At 43.5% G+C, this 21,608-nt stretch overlaps 1 long non-coding RNA gene across 2 annotated transcripts in view, besides 1 other annotated feature; it reads right to left on the minus strand.

Annotated features, from left to right (window-relative positions):
• Positions 1-21,608, minus strand: part of LINC01622 (long intergenic non-protein coding RNA 1622) — a 140,330-nt gene that overhangs the window by 64,401 nt on the left and 54,321 nt on the right. The gene's annotated exons all lie outside the window — the stretch shown is intronic.
• Positions 2,688-3,201: an enhancer, noted in NCBI's record as "NANOG hESC enhancer chr6:1028326-1028839 (GRCh37/hg19 assembly coordinates)". NCBI's record gives its function as "activates a minimal SCP1, AML or CMV promoter by ChIP-STARR-seq in naive H9 embryonic stem cells {active_cell/tissue: H9 hESC(naive)}" and the evidence as "EXISTENCE:reporter gene assay evidence [ECO:0000049][PMID:30033119]".

A 21,608-nucleotide genomic window follows, 5' to 3' on the forward strand; every position in this document is an offset into this window, starting at 1 on the left:
AGAAAAAATTACATATTTTCCATGTATAATAATGGAATGCTTTGTGGTATGACAGTCATTCATTGCAAACATTAAGCCTATATTGATAACGTTCAGTTAACACTGAGGTGCTCATAATATATGGATCATTAAACTGCCTCTACGTTGTCAGATTTTACTTATTTAAATAATAACTAAGACTCTAGAAACTTTTCTCTAATAACCTGCCAACAGTGATCATAAAAATCCTGCAGCATTTCCTGATTTCTGTGATGTGAACACACTCACCATGGCTCTTCCCAAGGCTCCAGGGTGATGTCCTGGGATGTGGGATGGGAAGAGGTGTGCAGAATTTGTTCTCAGGAGTTGGAATGGCCGAGAACAACTTAGCCACCAAACCAATTTCTAACCCGCCTTCTGCCCTCCTTGGTTCCATTGAGTACACATGGTCCACCTTCTCTACCCTTTTAGCCTAACAAAAACTCTGGCCTCAGTAGCACAAAGTGCAAATGCGCTCTGCCCTCCGAGTCCTCCAGGGTTTGTGGTGGTGCTGGCACAGAGGTATGGTTACTGGGCAGCTCCACCTTCAATCATAACAGAAGGCCTGTGAAGTCAGTGGCGTTTCTTCCTTTTTGGGTTTGGAAGCTGATGCTCAATAGGATTCAGGGACACCCCCCAGGGTGGGCCAAACTGCCAGGAATGTTCTCTACCCACTGGGCCTCACTGGATTTCCCTCCTAGAGGGCTGGTCACAGTGGCAAGGATGAGATTGGGAGGATCAGCAATTTGACTTGGGTCTATTTAAGGGAAAAATTGGTAACCTTCCTGGAATATGTTTCTCATAAACCTCCATTGTGTTGGATGATAAAGGGGTCGATGGCTCCTTATGGAAAAGGGCAAATCCAACAAAGACAGCTCTAAAGGAGGAAGGTAGCCGACGGAAGGGCACACAGAAGCCCCGGCCAAGCTGAGCCTGGTTGCCTCTCTCCCCACCCTCCCAGCACCACCCGACTGGGGCTGGGACAGGCCACTTCCTCAGCGGGACACCTGTCCAAGTCCGGACAAAACACCAAAGCCCTGTTCTTTGTTCCCCTTTGCACAGCTGAGAAAGCTTGGGATTTTCAAAAGAACTTTTTACTAAAACATCATCAGAAAACAAACAACAAATGAACAAAGAAAAGACTAAAAGCACGAAAGCCATCTTCAAAGCACGGATACGGAGTCCTGCGGAATCTCCCTGCCTCACCATGGTTGTGGGCTGGCTCAGCAGTGCACCCTGGAACCTGGCTGTCAGAGCCCCCACCTTTGCACCCCCTGCCCATCTTTGCCACCTCCTTTCTGGGGAGAAATTCTTGCTACATGAGAGAGAAATGATATGAGACACATGGGCTGGTGTCACAGCTGGAAAAGTGCAGGCCTTGCCCTCCAGAGGTTGCCAGGTGCAGAGAAAGAAACCAGCAGATCTGTGATTGCTCTCCACTTCCAGGGAGTATGGTGGGTAGAGACTGGGATGTGGGAGGGAGACAGAGACACCCACGACAGCACCCTAGATCTGCCATCATTCAGCAGCACGACTCTGGCAAGGTGATAGCGTTGGGCAAGCCCTGGCGTCCTCCTCCATAAGATAGAAACACCACAGTGCCTGCTGATGGGCTGTGAGGACAGAATTAAGTGGTTGTGACTGGCCCGTGTGAAGTGAACTCAAGGTGAGCTTTAGTGTCGTTACAAAGGACGACTTGAGCTTGACTTCTCCAGGACTCCCGACCTTACTTCTTACAGGGGCAAATGGCAAAGCATAGAGATGCCTGTGGGTAGCCCTTAAACTGGCACAGCTCTGGGAATTCTGCGACACTGGCCCTAGGTTCTGTTCTTGCTGTCAGTAGCCACTCAGCCCTCCCAAAAGAACATGTGGGTGCTCCCAGGACCCAAGGACCTTGCTTTCGTTACTATCTGGGGAACTGGGGGCAGGAAGGATGGGAGGAGGTGGGGAAAGAAGATCAGGAACAAGGAGGCGTGAACCATTCAAGATGACACAGAGTCCCAGGCTTTGGGAATGGGCTGGGTAATTGCTGAAAGGCCGAAGGAACAAGGAGAAATTGTGCAAGTGGAGTTTTCTTTGGGAGCCTTAAGAACTGAAAGCCAAGAAAAAGCAGAAATGTGCAGCATCTTTCTGGAGAGGTCCTTCTTGCCTAGGACTCCCTTCATTACCATGAGCAGTTTCCATGACTCAATCCTGTGTCATCCCTCACGTGCCTCCCCCTAAATAAATAGAAAGGAAAAAAACAGAAGAAGGGAGGGAGGGAGGCAGGGAGGAAGGGAGAGAGGGAGGGAGGGAGGAAGGAAGGAAGGAAGGGAGGCAGGTAGGCAGGGAGGGAGGGAGAGAGGGAGAAAGCGAGGGACGGAGGAAGGAAGGGAGAGAGGAAGGAAGGGAGGGAGGGAGGGAGAGAGGAAGGAAGGAAAGAAGGAAGACTATTAGCCAGAATAGCTTGATGGTTTTAAACATTTTTTAAGTTGAGCTTATTTCCTCCCAGTTGTGTCTCACACACTAGACTATAAGTTCCAAAAGGGCAGGGGCAACGTCTGCCCCCATCATTGTCAAAACTCCAGTCCTAGAGCAATGCCTACCACATGACACATGTTCAAAATATGTTGGCTTAATGAATAAAGAAAAAGCCAAATCATGAAGCTGATAAAATTGCTAAGTTAGGACTTCCAATTAAAGATAAGAAATCAAGCAATCATACTGTCCTTATCTCTAAAAATGACAAAAATGGACAAAAAATAAAAATAAAGTAGAAGACCCCATTTTAAATTAAGAAAAGGAAACATTTTCAGCTCAAGAATACAAAGAATTTCTACCAGTTCAAGTGGCGCTTTGACCTGCTGAGAATACTTCCTGGCTGCCTCTACCACATCGACTCCTCTTTCCTAACTGTGCTGTGACATCCTGCTGAGTTACTTTCAATGGGATTGAACTTTCCCTTGCTCAAGCAGTAGGCGGCCCTGATTAGCTGGAGGGGGTTGACGTTCTCCACCCTTGGGCTGGGGTGATGTGTTCGAGAACGGACATACAGTCCGAGTCAGGTCCATGCGGACCTGCAGGACTTAGCTCCAACCCTTTTGTTGATCTTCTAGAAAGGCAGTGTTTTCCTACTGGAAGTAAATGAGACATGGAGTTGGGCAGGAGATTCAGCCAGGCTCTTGAGACCACAGTGGAGGAGTTGCTAGAGAATTGGGGCAACTCTGAGGATGCGGAATTGAGAAATAGAAACTGTTTTATGGCTGTGTTGTTTAAGGCCTGGATGAATCTCACTTGAAGCCAGACATGCCTCTGGGATGCTCTGTGGGGGAAAATAGAGTGTTTACATTTAGGGCTGTTTCAGTTGGGTTTTCTAGAGCTTGCAAGGGGGTCTGAATGGCAACTGCCCCAAAGTTGACACACACCTCTTGAGAGTCTTAGCTTTTCCTGGAGGTGAAGGGCCTTGAGGAATCCGAGGATCCTATGGTGAAAACCAAAGGTGCCGGCACAGATGAGTGACAGGAGCACTAGGGAACAGGCCGCCTCCACCCCAGCGTGTGGGCGGGAGGTTGCCTCTGGAATTCTTGGCCTATTTTCTATGGACATGGCTTCGTAACCTGGAGAAAGAGCCAGACAGAAGAAAATGCTAACCCGAGATGTACGAATAGAGAAAAATCAATGGTAAGTCACAAACCATTGAGCTAAGAGGCATCTGAGAGTCACTGCCAGCTCCTGTGTGGGGCATCATTTTACCCCAGTCAGGTGATGCCCCCAAATCTAAGGAAAGGGATGTGTCCTCAGAGAAGACAGAGATTTTGTGGGGGGAAAGGTATTTGGTGACAGCAGAACTGTTTAAAAGTTATTGACTGTAACAGCCAATGCTCTGAGATAGTTAGTTTGTGGCCTCCACATCTCCTGTTGAAATGTGATCCCCAGTGTTGGAGGCAGGGACTGGTGGGAGGTGTCTGGGTCATGGAGCAGTTCCCTCATGCGTGACTTGCTGCTGCGGGAGAGCTGCTTATTAAAGAGTCTGAAACCTCTCCCATCTGTTGCGTCTTCTCTCGCCATGTGACACATCCACTCCGGCTTTGCCTTCTGCCATGAGTAAAGGCTTCCTGAGGCCTCTCCAGAAGCAGTTCCTGACACTATGCTTCTTGTACAGTCTGCAGAACAGAGAGCCAAATAAACCTATTTTCTTTGTAAATTAGGCACAATGAACTAACACACATTCTCTGCACTCCCCACCCTGTTTTTTGAGCAATTAGCTGGCGCTAATAATACCCATTCCAATAAAAATATGAGTAATATTCAGAAAGGACCTAAGATGTACCACATGCACAGCCAACGAAAATCACAAGCAAAGAGCTAAGAAGACTTCACTTAAGAAGAATTGCCGCAGGTAATAGAATAAAATTTTAGGCAAATACTTCTCTGTACTCTCAAATACTTCTCTGTACTCTCAAATACTTCTCCGTACTCTCAAATACATTGAAGAGTAAACAAGACTATTTTGGGGGGATGGTTGGAAAATACCTTTAAAAAGTTGTACAGGAGATATAAAATGAAATTACAGAACCCAGAACAGCAATAGAAGATAACAATATAAATGTTACAAGGAAAAAAATCAGATTATATGCCACTGAACAGAGTCAGTAATCTGATAAAATCACCCAAGAATAAACTAAGAAAGAAGAGATAGTGAATAAAAGCAAAATGAGAAATATCTCAGGTAGAATAGAAAAGAACTAAATTGAGTATAATTGGTGTTCTTGAAGAGGTGAAGAGAATAAACAGAAAAGTAAAAGTACTCAAATATAATACAGAGACAAGAAGAGTTAGAACATTTTTAAAATAAAAAGAAAGGCCGGGCGCGGTGGCTCACGCCTGTAATCCCAGCACTTTGGGAGGCCGAGGCGGGTGGATCATGAGGTCAGGAGATCGAGACCATCCTGGCTAACAAGGTGAAACCCCGTCTCTACTAAAAATACAAAAAATTAGCCGGGCGCGGTGGCGGGCGCCTGTAGTCCCAGCTACTCGGGAGGCTGAGGCAGGAGAATGGCGTGAACCCGGGAAGCGGAGCTTGCAGTGAGCCGAGATTGCGCCACTGCAGTCCGCAGTCCGGCCTGGGCGACAGAGCGAGACTCTGTCTCAAAAATAAAAATAAAAAAAATAAAAATAAAAATAAAAAAATAAAAAATAAAAAATAAAAAGAAAATCTGAACCTGAAGATACAAAAGGAATATTTTGTACCAGGAAAAAAAGATACAATATTATCAACACTGAGGAATGTTTCTGAGCTTTAAGGATAAGGCACAAATGCTGTAGACATCCAGACAGAAAGCAAGTCCTTTGTACAGGACAAAAGAAGGTGAACCTCAAGCATCTCTCCAGGAACATTCAGCATGTAAGATAAATGAGAAAATGCTCCAGGATTTGGAAAGGGAGAAAGTGTATTTACCTTATTAAAAAAGAAATCAAAATAAAGAATTCAGAAATGCAGAAGTAGCAGAATGAAGGAACTCGGTGTGAACATTACATATAATTATAAGGCTAACTAAATATACATATTTAATAAGGTCAGTTTTTAAAATGTAATAGCAATTCTGGTGGTAAACAAATCATCAAGAAATGAGAAAAAATAAATTTAAAGATTGAGAAAATTATTGTTACATAGGAGAATATAAATATTATAACTTTTCAAAGTAATTACAATTAAATGTCTGGAAAATGGGGGATGGAAAGTTTTAGTTTTTAGTTTTTTTGACTGTCATAAACTATTTTCTACCGCATCAATGATGTAGAAGTTTTCCAATTTCTCCACATCCTTGCCCACTCTTGTTTTCTGTTTTGTTTTTATGATAGCCATTCTAATGGGTGTGAGGTGGTATCTCATTGTGGCTTTGCAGTAACTATTACTGATGTTGAGCATTTTTTCATGTGCTTACCAGCCATTTGTATATTTTCTTTAGAGAAATGTCTATTCAAGTCTCTTGACCATTTTTGAATTGGGTTTGTGGGGGTTTCTTTGCAAGTATTGAGTTGTAAGAGCTCTTTATACATCCTGGATATTAATTCCTTATCAGATATATGACTTGCAAATATTTTCTCCCATTCCATGTGTTGTATTTTCACTCTTTTGATGCACAGGTTTTAAATTTTGCTGATGTCCAAAATTATCTATTTTTTGTTGCTGCCTGTGGTTTTGCTGTCATATCAAAGAAATCATTGCCAAATCCAGTGTCACGACGATCTTCCCCTATGTTTCCTTCCATGAGTTTTATAGTTTTGACTCTTAGGTTAGGTATTAAATTCATTTTGAATTAATTTTTGTGTATGACGTAAAGGAAGAGTCCAACTTCATTCTTCTGCACGTGGGCATCTAGTTTTCCCATCCTATTTGTTGAAAAGACTGTCCTTTCCCCAGTGAATGGTCTTAGCAGCTGTTGAAAATCAACTGGCTGTTTGTTATTTTTGGACTGTACTCCAGTACATTGGTCTTATAGGTCTGTCCTTGTGATAGTAACACATTGTTTTTATTTTGATCACTTGATAGTAAATTTTGAAATCAGAAAGTGTTAGTTCTTCAACTTTGTTTACTTTTTCAAGATTGTTTTGACAATTTGAGGTTCCATGAGATTCCACATAAATTTTATCAGGAGCTTTTTATTTCTGAAAAAAATGTTGGGAATTTGATAAAGATTACATTGACTCTGTAGATCACTTTGAGTAGTACTGTCATCCTAATATTAAATATTTCAATCCATGAACATGGGATAACTGTTCACTTATTTATATAATCTTTTATTTCTTTCAACAATGTTTTGTAGTTTTCAATGGAGAAATCTTTCACCTTCTTGGTTAAATTTATTCCTAATATTTTATTCTTTTTACATGATTATAAATGGGATTGTTTTCTTAATTTCCTTTTTGAATTGTTTTTAGTGTCTATAAATGCCAACAGAGTTTTATGTGTTTATTTTGTATCCTGCAACTTTGCCAGATTTCTTTATTAGCTCTCACAGGTTTTAATGAATACTTTAGGGATTTTTTTTTTTTCTTTTTGAGATGGAGTCTCACACTGTCACCCAGGCTGGAGTGCAGTGGCACAATCTCTGCTCACTGCAACCGCCGCCTCCTGGGTTCACGCCATTCTCCTGCCTCAGCCTCCCAAGTAGCTGGAACTACAGGTGCCCACTACCACACCCGGCTAATTTTTTGTATTTTTAGTAGAGACGGGGTTTCATTGTGTTAGCCAGGATGGTCTCGATCTCCTGACCTCGTGATCTGCCCACCTTGGCTTCCCAAAGTGCTGGGATTACAGGCATGAGCCACCACGCATAAGATTATGTCATCTGCAGACAGGTAATTTTACATCTTCTTTTCCAATCTGGGTACTTTTTATTTCTTTTTCTTACCTAATTGCTCTGGCTAGAACTTCCAATACTATGCTGAGTTGAAATAGCCAAAGCAGGAATTCGTGTCTTGTTCCTGATCTTAGGGGGAAAGCTTTCAGTCTTTTAGCATTGAGTATGAAAAGAAAAACATTATAAAGTAGTAGTATGGTGAGATTATCCTACTAGCTATGAAAATATATTATAAAATGAAGATAATTTAAAAAGTGAGGCATTGGTATACTTATAGGCTGACAAATCAATATGTAGTAGATAACGTCAAGGTATAGAGCCATATACTCCGAAAATGCAATATGTGTAAAGGCACAGACTTGAATCTGCAGGGAAAAGATACACTATTCAACAAACACAAATTGTTTTCTAAAATGGTGTAGCCAACTGGAAGATAACATAAACTTGGATTCAAACAATGTTAATATATGGTTTATTGAGAAATTACAGATAAATGTTTAAAATGGAAAACAATAAACTATTAAAAAATAGAATAAATCATGGCAGAATTTTTTGATTCTCATAATTTTATAATGTAGAAGCTGTTTCTAATATGAATAAAATAAAGTAAGAAAAAAATTGATAAATTTAACTACATAAAAAGAAATGATTTCTACATGGCAACATCCCCCAGAAGAAAATTTAAAACATAAACAATAAAAATGATAAAGCAGATTTGCAATTCATAATATGGGCTAAGGATTAATTCCCTGCTATATGTGTGTATTGTATGTATGTGTGTGTATGTGTGTGTGCATGTCTGTTCAGCTATATATACTAGAAATCAGCGAGAAAAAGACTGATAACCCAATAAAAATAAGCAAAATATATAAGCAGACAACAAAAAATGAACCACAAATTACTCTTAAGCATATTAAAAGATGCTCAACCTCGTTCATTATTTAAAAAATGCAAATTAAACTTACACTGAGATCCATTTTTCACCTATCAAATTGGGAAATACCAAAAAGCTTGACAAAACTCCATGTTGATGTGAGTGTAGGGAAACAGATCTGCCGACACATTGCTGGTTGGACAATAAATGATTACATCCCCAGCTATGTGCAGTTGGCAATATCTATCAAAACTATAAATGCATATACCCTTGACACAGCAACTCCATTCCTGGGAATTTATTCTACAGAAATACTTACACCTATCCTGTGTGAGGTTTGTACGAGGTTATTACTCATTAGATGATTGTTCTGGTAGCAAGTAATTGGAGATAAGCTAAATGTACAATGTGAGATTGGTTAAATACCTGAGGGTACACCCACATAGTGGAATACTACGCAACTGAAATAAGAAATGGGAAAGCTTCATATGCACCGATGTGGATAAATGCTTCAAATTTATCGTAAGCCTTTGAAAAAAACATGATTTAGAAGTGTAAGTGCCTTTTTTTTTTTTCTAAAAGAGAATATATGGAAAACATCTCTAGAAGTATATGCAAAACTGTTAAACCATTTCAAAGAGTGGAGTTTGGGTGTCTGAGACAAAGGGAGGTTTTTCACTACATATAGTTGTTTTTTTCGGGTTTTTTTTTTTTTTGAGATGGTGTCTTGCTCTGTCACCCAGGCTAGAGTGCAATGGGGCAATGTCGGCTCACTGCAACCTCCACCTCCCTGGTCCAAGTTATTCTCCTGCTTCAGCCTCCTGAGTAGCTGGGATTACAGGCACCTACCACCATGACCGGCTAATTTTTATATTTTTAGTAGAGTCGGGGTTTCGCTACGTTAGTCAGCCTGGTCTCAAACTCCTGAGTTCAGGTGATCCACCCGCCTCGGCCTCCCAAAGTGCTGGGATTACAGGTGTGAGCCACTGCACCCGGCCACTACATATAGTTTCTCATCATAATTTCTATTTATTAAAAATTATATATCCTATTTCAAAGTTAGTAAATAAAATAAATGAAGCAAGATAAAAAATGTTCTCTTATAAAATTGGAAAATTCTGATGTGACTGTCCCCGTGTTGGGAAACTGTGGCTCTCTCTAGTGGGTATTTGCCCATGCAGCATGCAGGTTCTGCAGGACACGGTTCTGCCATGGCTTGTGGAGGAGTCATGGCTCCTGACGGCCAGCTTGTTGCTCCTTCTGCAGCACCAGTTTGGCTGTCATGCTGCGTTACTATGAATGTATATGATATATTGGATAGTATATTAAGAATGAACTAATATATAATAATTTCCTCCTCTTATCTTTTTCGCTTTTACAAAATAATAAAAATTCCTGCATTCACTGCATGACAACACTAAATTAAATTAATTAAAGTGAAATTGTAATTGCCCGAGTCCTCACCATTTTGAAGACTAATCGACAGTTTGTCTATTCCACTTGAATAAAGATTTCACAACATTTTTGCATCCAAATGAATCAGGAATATTGAACATTTGTTCTGTAACTTGCATTACCATAATGTTTTTAAATGACAGGTTGGGACTCTTCAGTGAGTTATGAAATCTATTGGATCACAACCAGCCTTTAAAGGAAATGAGATAGAGTAAGTGTGATAGCATAGAAAATGTCAGAACGAATTACAGATAATAAAAATACACACAAATATGTGTCTTGGGTTGTGATGAAAACTGTATTTCTTACATGCCTGGTGCTGGGGGTTCTGGTGCTGGAGATACAATGACAAACAAGATCAATTCTTGTCCAATCCTTATAGAGTTTACAGGCTACTGGGGTGGGGCGGGCGATAAACAAGCAAGCGAGTACATCAGTGGATCCAGATGGTAAACAGCACCAAGAAGGAATTCACAAGCCGCTGGAGGAGGAACACCGAGGATGGTAAGGCCTTAGAGGCACGGAGGGAGCCTCTGAGAAGGGGGTGTGTTCTCGGCAGCCTGAGAAGGAGAAAAAGCCCTCCGTGTGGGGGTGCAGGGAAGGGACCTCCAGGCGAGGGGGTGGCAAGTGTGGATCCTGCACAGGGAGAAGGTGAGGTGTGTGCCAGGAGTGGAAGAGGATGGGCGCGCAGCACAAGGCTGAGATGAATAGGGCCGGACTGTGCCAGGCCTCCCGGCTGTAGGAAAATGCACGTGGATCGTGCGCTAAGTGCAGCAGGAGGCCACAGACGAACGTTCATCAGGGGAGTTACGTGTTAGCGCTCACAGTTTTAAAATAGCATCCTGAGTTCTCAGGACGGGGTGAATTTAAAATAAAGCAACGGGGGAAGCTGGGTAAACAGCTGGGAGGTTCTTGCTGCAGTCTCGGCCTGCGTGATGATAGCTTGGTCCAAGGTGCTTCCAAGAAAGAGGAGGAGAGGAGGGAAGGGATTTGACATTGATTTGGGAGGTGGAATGGACATGGCATCAATGTGGGGGTAAGAGGGAGGGAAATGTCAAGAAGGATGACCAGCCTTACGGCTTTATTAGCTGGGTGGATGCCAGTACTATAGCTTGCGTTTCTGTGGGCACCTGCTCATCTAACACACTTAACACAAAGTCAGTGGCATCACAGACAACCAGGTGCAGCCTAAAGGATGTGCCTTCCCTCACACATAATGCAGTAACTTAATGCAGACACTTTAAATGCCTTTCCATTGCTGGAATTTTGTGCATGTATGCATTTCTTACAACTTTGAATTATTCAATTTATGCTCAAAATAGAGCGTTATGTTTATACTCTATATAGTTTTGTTTTGATGTGATAATTTCATGATGTTTCATCTTGGTGGGGTCCATAAGGCTGTTTTCTAAAAATTCATAAAATATCGAGGACTCAGGCAATTTGATTATCTTAGAAGGTGAATCCTCATGGAAAATATGTAACACTTTCTTATTTTTCATCTCATTGATTTTATGTCTTGCTGTTAGCAGAGTTGACACAATGGAAATATCAGTTTTGCTGTCTAGCATGATTTGTTATTGATCTTGACTCTAGTCTCTCCTATTCATTTTAAATTTCTTAAACGTTTTCAGCTTTTTAACTAAAAAATAGAAAATAATGAAAAATTATCACTTAAACTCAATTTCCAAATTTATAATAATTCTGTTCTACAGAATTGTTTGCATAGTTACACACAAAAAGCATTTCAAACTATGTTTAAACAAGCTATAACGTGATGCGTTCAGTTAGTTATTCAGAAATGGTTATGCGTAGATGAATGCTGTGCTGTGCAGATTCCCTGGCCCTCCCTGGCTTTGTACCAGGCAGGTGGGCTGCCAGTGTGCCCTTACCTGCCTGGATATCAACACGCTTCCCCTTAAAACAAGATCAATGCAGGATTGCATTTTTCCATTGCTGAGTTATGGATAACAAGTAAAAACGTATATATAGGGGTGGAGAGAAGGCAATTTTTAAAAGTCTTTTTAAAAAGGCTTAAACTAGGCCAGGTGCGGTGGTTCACACCTGTAATCCCAGCACTTTGGGAGGCTGAGGTGGGCGGATCACAAGTTCAGGAGACCAGCCTGGCTAATGTGGTGAAACCCCGTCTCTACTAAAAATACAAACATTAGCCAGGCATGGTGGCATGCATCTGTAGTCCCAGCTACTTGGGAGGCTGAGGCAGGAGAATCACTTGAACCTGGGAGGCAGAGCTTGCAGTGAGCTGAGATCGCACCACTGCACTCCAGCCTGGGCGACAGACCGAGACTCCATCTCAAACAAAACAAAGCAAAGGCTTAAACTCATAGCCCAGGTAATTGCAGTGGTGGTTGATAGTGTGTAGAAAAGCCTACAGATAATGCCTTTAAGAGAACGTGCTCTTTTCTGTGGTTTTCTAAACAGTTAAAAAATGTTTGTTTGTTTGTTTGTTTGTTTGCAAAATTAAATTGGAAGAGAATGTTTGCAGAACCACGGAAGCACATCTTTGGGGCACAGGTGTTCCAGGAACATGGTTCAAAATCCACAGGAACAAACACTGCCTGGGAATCATGACACTGATAACTTAGAAGTGCACCAGGAGGGAGTTAGATGCCACTTGGCAGGTTCTGCCTCATGTCCCCTTCCAGCTATCTCCTTCCTCCCCAATGGTTTTAGAAATACAGCCAAATAATGTTTGCAATTTCTGTGCAATATTGAGAGGGCAACAATAACAAAAAATTGGGAGCAGGGAGCCCAGACTTCCCCACTCTAACTCTGTGGCCCTTGGGCAAATAAGCTAATACAGCTCAGTGTTCTTGTCTCTTAACATCCGTCCCATGAGGCGGTTCTGAGCAATGCACACGTAATTCATGCAGCAGGTCTGCACGCTGCCTGATCTATATTAGGCATTCACTGTACGGCAGGCATATTCATGAATTAATCAGCAAAAGCTTTTATCCACTCTTCAAGCATCTCAGCCATCAGAGGCAATAAAAGAAATGGATGCAGAGCCCTTGACAGTGAGCAGCAAGAAGGGGGCGGACAGGATTGCCGTCCTCCTCCCCGAAACTTTGCTGGGCTCAGGCAGTGGCTTCTGTCTAAAGAACCCCGTATTTCAAGAGATCACATGTCTTTCAGTCTGGGATTTCATTCATGGACTGTTAGTTTCTTTGTGTGGTACAGGGCTGCTGTTCTCAGTGGTCAATGGTCATGGGAGTTGACTGCTGGTGCTGGACCTTAGGCACGCCATTTGTAACTGGGAGAAACACCCAGTCTCTCTGTGTGCAAACCACTCTGGACCACAGGGATATGAAACTCATGTCCAATATTTGGCACTATTCTGAAAGAAGAGACATGGCTCAGGGGCCGTGACAGGAGATCCAGGCTGGCCTCCTCACTCCGGAGATGCACACACAAACCTCTCAGCAGGACGATGACAAAGCCTAAAACCAAACCATGGATAGGTGTGACTAAACCCCAGAATTACCCAGTTTTAAATTGTGATGAATTAAATCACAATTGTGATTTGCTTTGTGGCTTCTCACCCTTAATTTTAAAACATAAGCTTGTTCCAGTGATACTTAATCAACTGGCACTTTAAAACCTTGTGTCTCTAAATCCTAATCTAGTATTTAAGAACTATAAACAACACTTTCAAATCTGTGTGTGTGTGTGTGTGTGTGTGTGTCTATATTTGGGGAGGATTCCCCCCACTTTGTAAAAATGAGTGGTTTAATTTCACCCAATGTAAAAAAAAAAGAAAGAAAGAAGAAATCCATGAATCTTGAGCTTGCTCTCACACCTTCACCAGTGCCATCAGCGGCAGGGCCCTTCCCTTCCTAGGTATTTAACGTTTGTGGAAGATGCTAAAATGCTCTCCCGTATATGTGAAATAGGTAAAACAGACATCATTGTCTAAATTTTTCCAGTCAATAAACAGAAGTTACATGCCAGAGGCCACACGGTCAATACATGTCTGAGCGGGTCTAGTGCTTGGGTGGATGGACCGGTGGTCCTGCCCTGTCCATGGGGTGGGGGATGTAAACTCTTGTTAACTTGTTGGCATGAGTGATGGTATGCATGTATACATAACCCTAACTCCAGGAAGAAAAAAAGTCCCAAGGGAACCACACCAAAGGGTGGGGACCAGGAACAAAGAAATAAAAGAAATTCTGCAAGGAGAACTCATAGACTGCTTTGATTAATTGCCACCCACACACCAAGGTGTGCTGCCGTTTACTTAGACCTCTGCCAGGGAGGAGGGCTCCGGATTCCTGAGGATTGCTCCATCGCTGGGCGAGCCGAAAGCCATTATCAGTGATGTCTGAGGCACAGCCACCAGCCAGCCATCCACTTTGCCGACTTGGAGCCAGGCAGATAGATGTGCGCACACCGGGAGGGCTGCCCTGCACTCTCTCCTCATCCACACAGCTGTGCTCTCAGGCCCCCTCAGGCCTCTGTGCAACCTCGCAGCTCTGCGTGGCATCTGTTCTGCTCATAGCTTCATCTTGCATGTGTCAAGGCTTAGGGTCACTTTGTCAGTTGTGTGGAGGGGGCAGTGATAAGAAGAACAGGACAAATAAGAGAAGAAAAGAGAGATGGCTTGGAATTCACCAGGAAAGAGAAGACTTTGATTTGCTGCAAACCCACCTTGGAGAAGACGCTCCCAGCCCCCACTGGGAAGTAATCAGGGAAGGGTGCAGAACTTTCTCTTTCCAACCTCTCTGCTTCTGTGGTTTTCACTAAACTTCTGAGTTCCAGGAAGGAACAGATTGAAAGCCTCAGGGCAGCCCTGTACAACCCTGAAGAGGGCCTGGCTCAGGCATCCAGGCACCAGAGAGGTTGGTTCAGTGCATACTTACTCATGCCCGCAGCTTTGGCTTGTTGACTGTGAAGTTGCTAGTCTTGTAAGTATCTTGCCAAGCTGAGCAGGAACCTTCTTTCTCTCCCTTTCCCTTTGCTCAGCCACATAGGAATTGTCAGGTACAGCATCTCCTCCCAGCCCAGGTCCTGCCTTGGTTTGCTCACAAGGCCCAGGGACAGGAGGGGCCCCTGTAAAATGCCTTCCTCTCTGCTCCACTGCAAACACCACACACTTCACTGGCCTAAAGTCTCATGCCTGGACCTCCACCTCTCTTCCCCATTCACTGGCCTGAAGTCTCATGCCTGGACCTCCACCTCTCTTCCCCATGAAGTGATTGGGTTGCTTTCTTCCTATAGTCCCCACTTTTTTAAAATAATTTTTTTGAATTATGGTAAAAAGACATAACATAACATTTGCCTCCACAACCGTTTTCAAGTTCCGTGTGTTAAGCACATTCATGTTGCTGTACAACAGATCTGTGGTCTCTCCTCTAACACACGAGCACCAGGACAGACGGCATAGCTGTCCTCGGCGTGGTAGGTGGGTGAGTATTCAGCAGCTAGGGGATGACCTCCTTTCCATAGCAGGCTAGACAGGGCAGGGGCAGCTGGGAACAGAGGAGTGCTGGGACAGACAGGGCTCAGCTAGGGAGGAAAACAGACAGCGGGGCAGAGAGGTCATGCCCACCTCTGGGAGCCGCCCCATCCTGGTGCCCCATTGTTCCTCAACCAAAGACAACGGGGAGGGGTGTGTGTCGGGGGGGGGGGCGCTTAGAGGAAAATGCAAGGGCTGCCGGAAGCAGTACTTCTCTCACCAATTACGGATGGCTAGTGCCCAAAACACACTGGCAAAGTCCACTGGGTAAAGAATTTGGTTAAACAAAGATAAACTGAAAACCAATGTTTTAAAAAAATCCTTAGCCTTTTGATTCTTCACTTACATATTTGTCAGAATAAGGTATATCATAAAATTCATTGGTAGGTCTTAGGAATAAAATTCTCTAATTAAAACAGTCCAGGGTATAAAGCCATCACTATAGAGTTCTGTACCAAACACAGGTTTGTCTTTTTAATACCCAAAAACAGTTCTTCCATAATGCACTCTAGGCACTGTGGCTGGGAGAAACTGCTAGAACCCCAGAAGCACTTCTTGCCTTTTAAAAAAATGTGGTAAAATACACACAACGTACACTTTACCATCTTAACCATTTCTAAGCGTACAGTGTAGCGGCGTCAAGTACATTCATATTGCTGTGCGGCCGTCACCATATCCATCTCCAGAACTCTTTTCATCTTCTCAAACTGAAACTGTGTCCATTAAACACCAGTTCCCCTCTCCCAATCCCTGGCAGCCGCCATTCTATTTCCTGCCTTTATGAATTTGACCATTCTAGGTGCCTTGTAAACGTGGAATCATGCAATATTTGTCCTTTTGTGACTGGCTTATTTCACTGAGCATAGCGTCCTCCAGGATCATCCACGTTGCAGCAATGGACAGAATGTCCTTCCTTTTTAAGATGGAATCATATTCCATTGCATCTGTATACCCCATTTTGTTTATCCAGTTATCTGTGGATGGACACCTGGGTTGCTTCCACCTTTTGGCTATTGTGAGTAATGCTGCTGTGAACCCGGGGTGCACGTGTCTTCTTTGTAAATTCCCTTGCCATTGGGCAGACAATGAGCCATCTCACTACATGATGCCTGCAGCTCCTGCCAGGGCCCTTGGAGTCAAGGTTAGGCTTGCATTGTTATTCCCTTTTACCATGACTCTCATCCCTGTGGTGTGTAATCCTCAGTAAATATGGCTTTGATTATTTCTCCCACCTTTTCAGAAGTTAGGATGGGAGCTTTCTTAAGAGCTGCAACTTCTGATCCTGTCACTCTTTTAAGAGTTGCATCAAAGTTCCAGGAATTCATCCGTCTCTTCTAGGTTTTCTAGTTTATGTGTGTGAAGGCATTCTTGGTAGCCTTGAATGATCTTTTGTATTTCAGTGGCGTCAGTTGTAATATCTCCTGTTGCATTTCTTAGTGAGGTTATTTGGATTTTCTGTCTTCTTGGTTCATCTTGCTAATGGTCTATCAGTTTCATTTATCTTTCTGAAGAGCCAGCTTTTTGTTTCATTTATCTTTTTTGTTGTTTTTTTTTTTGTTTGTTTGTTTATTTCAATTTCATGTAGTTCTGCTCTGATCTTGGTTATTTCCTTTCTTCTGCTGGGTTTGGTTTGTTCTTGTTTCTCTAGTTCCTTGAGGTGTGACCTTAGATTGTCCATTTGTGCTCTTCCAGACTTTTTGATGTAGGCATTTAAGGCTATGAACTTTCCTCTAAGCACCACCTTTGCTGAATCCCAGAGGTTTTGATAGGTTTATGACTCATAACAGGGATGAAAATCTTCACTGAAAATTAGTGAAAGTGGAGTGTAAAATGAAAAAAAAATATAGGAAGAGCTTGAGTCTGGGTTAAGACTATAATGCTTTCTTGGGTCAGCAAGCCTAAATGTGGCTCTGAAAGCCTAAATAATCAAAGAATTGGGCAAACAAATGTAGGAAGGAAGGCTGATACTGGGAAGTTATCAACTGCATACGTGCACTGAACAATACAGGGACTCACAACCTACCCAAGAAAACCTAACCGGATATTTATCCATTTTTCTAAAAGGATATTTAGTTGTTTTTTTAAAAAACATGAAATATGCATCAACATATAAATAAGCCATGATAATTTCCGAGTTGGTGTAGCTTTTCCCTGTGGTACTAGAGAAAAGCTTTCTTCAGCCAGGTACGTGCTGGCTCAATAGTGCAGCAGGTCATTGTTGAGTCCTGGCAGTGAATGGCTGGACTTTGATGTCAGGGGTCAGGGTTTAAAATTGCACTCTGCTTCCTGGGTAGACTGCTTACTCCGAGACACCTGGATCTGCTTATTTTATTGTAAAATGGGGAGAATCACTTTTTAAACACCCCACGAGAATATCATGAGAGTTGAATAACAGGAGTGGTGCTCGAGGGGCTGGGGCATGGCCGGCGCATGGCTGGCGCTGGATGCTTGCTCACCTCTCTCCCTTCCATGCCTGAGAGATCCCAGGCCTCACAGTTCAGGCAATGGTGCTTTCAGATGCTCATCCCTGTGTTGTCATCTTCCCAAAAGGGTGACTTTCTCTGAGCCAAACTAGTCCAGCTGCTAAGTAAGAAAAGCATCTCTTTTTGATAGTACTTAGATGTCGGGATGATTCAGGAAGAGGGTGATCTGGCCCAGCCACAGGACAGGGTACCCTGATAAGCGACCCTGAGTTCCTCACCCTTGCTGAGATGCTGGAGGACCCAGGTCAGTCGGGTGCCAGGTTGCTGCTGTGTGGGAAGCCTCCTGCCTCAGAGACGCCTTTGATTTTGCGTCGGTCTTGCTCATTGTGGGCAGGTCAGCATGTTGAGGCCAACTGCACTAAGGGAAATGCCATGTGGTGATTAGATTTTTCCTCTGGGTTCTTCAGCATTTGGTCTTTCACCAAAAACACATGTCCATGTGGCATGTTCCTGTCCTGGCTGTCCTGCGATTCTACTGCTGCACTCGGCACTCTCCCTCGTCCTCCCTGGAGCACTCTGTACAGCGTGTGCAGTGAGGGAAGTGATGTACGCTGTTTGGAAATAGTCTGCTCAAGTCACTTCTCTTCCTTTCTTTGTGTAATTATCGGGAGACATGCCGTGTTTACCAGTGGTAAGCCAAGAGGCATGTGCCTTACTTTGGAAGGAGTATTGAGGGAAATGTGGAATGTGGTGGAAATTAAGACATCAAACCCAGGGACAGGAATCCGGAAACCTAAACCCTAAACTCCTCTCTTACACAGAACTTCTGGCTAAACAGCAAGTAGCAACTCTGAGGATGTCATGCTCTGAGGATGGTAGTGTCCATTTCTAATATCATCTGAATCAAATGTAAATAAAATCTTCTTGAATCACTTTGAGTACTACTGAGTGGCAGACATAGAGAATGCAGCGGCTGGACCAGGCAAAGTTCCCTTCCCTCGTCTGAAATCCATCTGGGAAGATTGACATTGAGCAACAGATTCTAAGTGTGGTCAGGGCTGCAACACATCAAACCAAGGTATTGCAGGAACGTAGTTTAAGACTCACAGGTTCAAAGGAGACTTCAGTTGGCTAGGCTCACAGAGGATCACGAGAAAATGGAGTCAGGCTGTTGCTCTGAACAGGTCTTGCCAAAATAGCGAGTGCCCATCGGAGACAACTTGTTTGAACCCCAGCACTGCCTTGATTGGGAGCTCAGTTGAATAAACCTCCTGAGCAGGTGCAGCCCTGGGTGCTGAGCCAGAGCAGGGCAGGGTGGTCTCCAGTATCACTTCTCTAGGGAGCACATCCTGTGGATTTCCACCCCGAGGTTCCCACAACTGGTGAGAGCCCAAAGTCTCCTGTGAGCAGGGCAGTGACCTGCAACTGGAACCACCCTGGTCCATGGAACACTCAGCTTCCTCTTCAATAGGTGGGTTCACAGGGGAGAGGAGCTATCAGGTGCACCATGAGCATATTTTTCAGAACAATTGCTTTTATCAGCTTGGCTTTCTTGTCCCAGAATGCAGTCCTTGGCAGGAAGTCACTGGTCTATTGACTTTACTAGTAGGATAAACAAACCTCCTTTGACACACAGAATGGCAGAGACTGTAATTTCCTTCCCGCCACATGGAGGCAAGGCAGACGAAGTTGGGGGAAGCAATGGGTTGGCTTTAACATGGATTAAGAGCAAAAATCCTGGTTAAATATCAGGCAAAATGCTCCCTGTGTAGGCAAGAAGGGGTGAAAGGCATCACTGGGAAGCCTCAAATCAGGAGGGCAAGGGAAGACAGTGCAGGAAGAAGAAAGGGTGGATCCACTTTCTAGCTTCCAGGAGACATTTACTTTGCACACCGTGAAGTCTAAATGGGCTATTTTTGTTACAGGTCTGCACTCCTAATCTATTCTGTTTTACTTGGTGAAATGATTGCAAGTGAAGTTGGAAGACAAAGGAGAAGCGTGTCCGTAACTATGTAATGGGTACATCGAAAAGCAAGACTGAGGGGTGAAATCATGAAAGCAATGTTTACTTTTCTTCTACTACCCTTTGAAACCTTCTCAAAGAGGTTTAGAGGTATCCCTCCTTTGCTCCTGGATGAAAAATCAGGCCATCTCCAAGACTGTCTGGTCACTGTTTTGTAATAGAAAATACTACCAACACTTTAGGATTCAAAAGCAAAATAAATTAGGAAACCATAATGCTCAGTCCACATGATACACAACTCCAGGTTGACATCGCATGACATCTTCAACCCCTTGCCTCTGCCGACCTATAGTGGCAGCAGCATAGGGGCTGGAGGAAAATGGGTTTTATTCTTCTCTATTTCTCTGTTTTGCTTGCCAGGTTTCTGACCTGGACATGGTCAAGGGTGGTGAAGAGGGAGGAGATGTAAGGAAGGGGTGAGAAACATTTTATCTGATTGCTGCTGCCATAAAATGGTGCCATGGACCTGGCAACTGTTTATAGCTCATTCTTCTGTGAGATTTTTATGGGTTTACTGGGGTAAAAGAGGTCACTGAAAAATTTGCTTATGTTCCTCAAAATGAAGATGATATGTTTTTCTTCTGAATAATTACAAGAAAACACTCAATAACTAGCATTTTTTAAACCTGCTGGAAAAACTGATGACATATCCGCAGAGAGCAAAGAATGTGTCATTCCACGTGTAGTCTTACAATGGAGACAGATCAGGCAGGGTTCATTTTCTGTCTCATTTTGTGCATGTGACTTACCGATGTCCCTGTTCCTCCCTTTGCTGAGCCTGAACGTCCAATCCTCTGAAGCCTGTTCCATGGAGACAGTGTGCTCCCAGTGCTGTCTGCAGGGGCACTGAGCAAGGAAGAGAACCCCTATTCCTACTAAAGAGAGGTGTTGCTGGCATTGAACCTTGGAACTCTGATCACTTTTTTTTTTTAAGTGACAGGGTCTCGCTCTGTCGCCCAGGCTGGATTAAAGTGCTGTGATCACAGCTCACTGCAGCCGTGAAGACCTAGGCTCAAGGGATCAGCCCTCCTCAGGCTCCAGAGTGCCTGGGGCTACACACCCAGCTAATTTTTAAAAAAGTTTTGTAGAGACAGGATCTTTGTATGTTGCCCAGGCTAGACCACATTTTTCTGTAGAAATAATGAGTCGCAGAATTTAGGAAATGGGAGAATATTACTGCCCCACTGGATTTGGGGAATCTCGGCTCTTAACAGAAACTGGGCTTAATCATTCAAAATGAAGTTGGTTTCTTTCACACCTGGGTTTGCAGACTGAGCCACCTGGTGCGCCCCACTCCCGCTGCATCCTTCTGCCTGCATGGCAGACCCACGTGCAACTCAAACAATGTTTATGATTTTCTAATATCCCTCCTTTGTAGCTAGCACCACATCTGCACAGAATTGAAGGAATGTTAAAGGATCAAAGGAATATAAACTAGACGGTAGAACACTGACATGCTCTGTTTTCCAGGTTTTTCCTACTGGTCCGGGGGTAATGCAATGTCTGAGGCAGACCATAATTTCACTCGTATGCAGGAGATTAAAAAAAAAAAAATGAACTCAGCCTGGTGCAGTGGCTCACGCCTATAATCCCAGCACTTTGGGAGGCCAAGGTGGGCAGATCACGAAGTCAAGAGATTGAGACCATCCTGGCCAACATGGTGAAACCCCGTCTCTACTAAAAATACAAAAATTATCTGGGCGTGGTGCTGCAGCCCTGTAGTCCCGGGTACTCGGGAGGCTGAGACAGGAGAATCACTTGAACCAGGAGGCGGAGGTTGCATTGAGCCAAGATCGTGCCACTGTACTCCAGCCTGGCTACAGAGCAAGACTCTGTCTCAACAACAACAACAAAAAAAAAAAAAAAAAAAAAAAGAAAGAAAGAAAAAAATGAACTAACGTAACTAAAGAGTAGAATAGAGCCTGGGAGAGGTGCTGATGGGGAGAAGAAAGGATGGGGAGAGGTTGGTTATGGGATACGAAATTACAGCTAGTGG

Source organism: Homo sapiens, chromosome 6 (assembly GCF_000001405.40).
Source record: "Homo sapiens chromosome 6, GRCh38.p14 Primary Assembly".
In the NCBI taxonomy this organism is placed as follows: domain Eukaryota; kingdom Metazoa; phylum Chordata; class Mammalia; order Primates; family Hominidae; genus Homo; species Homo sapiens.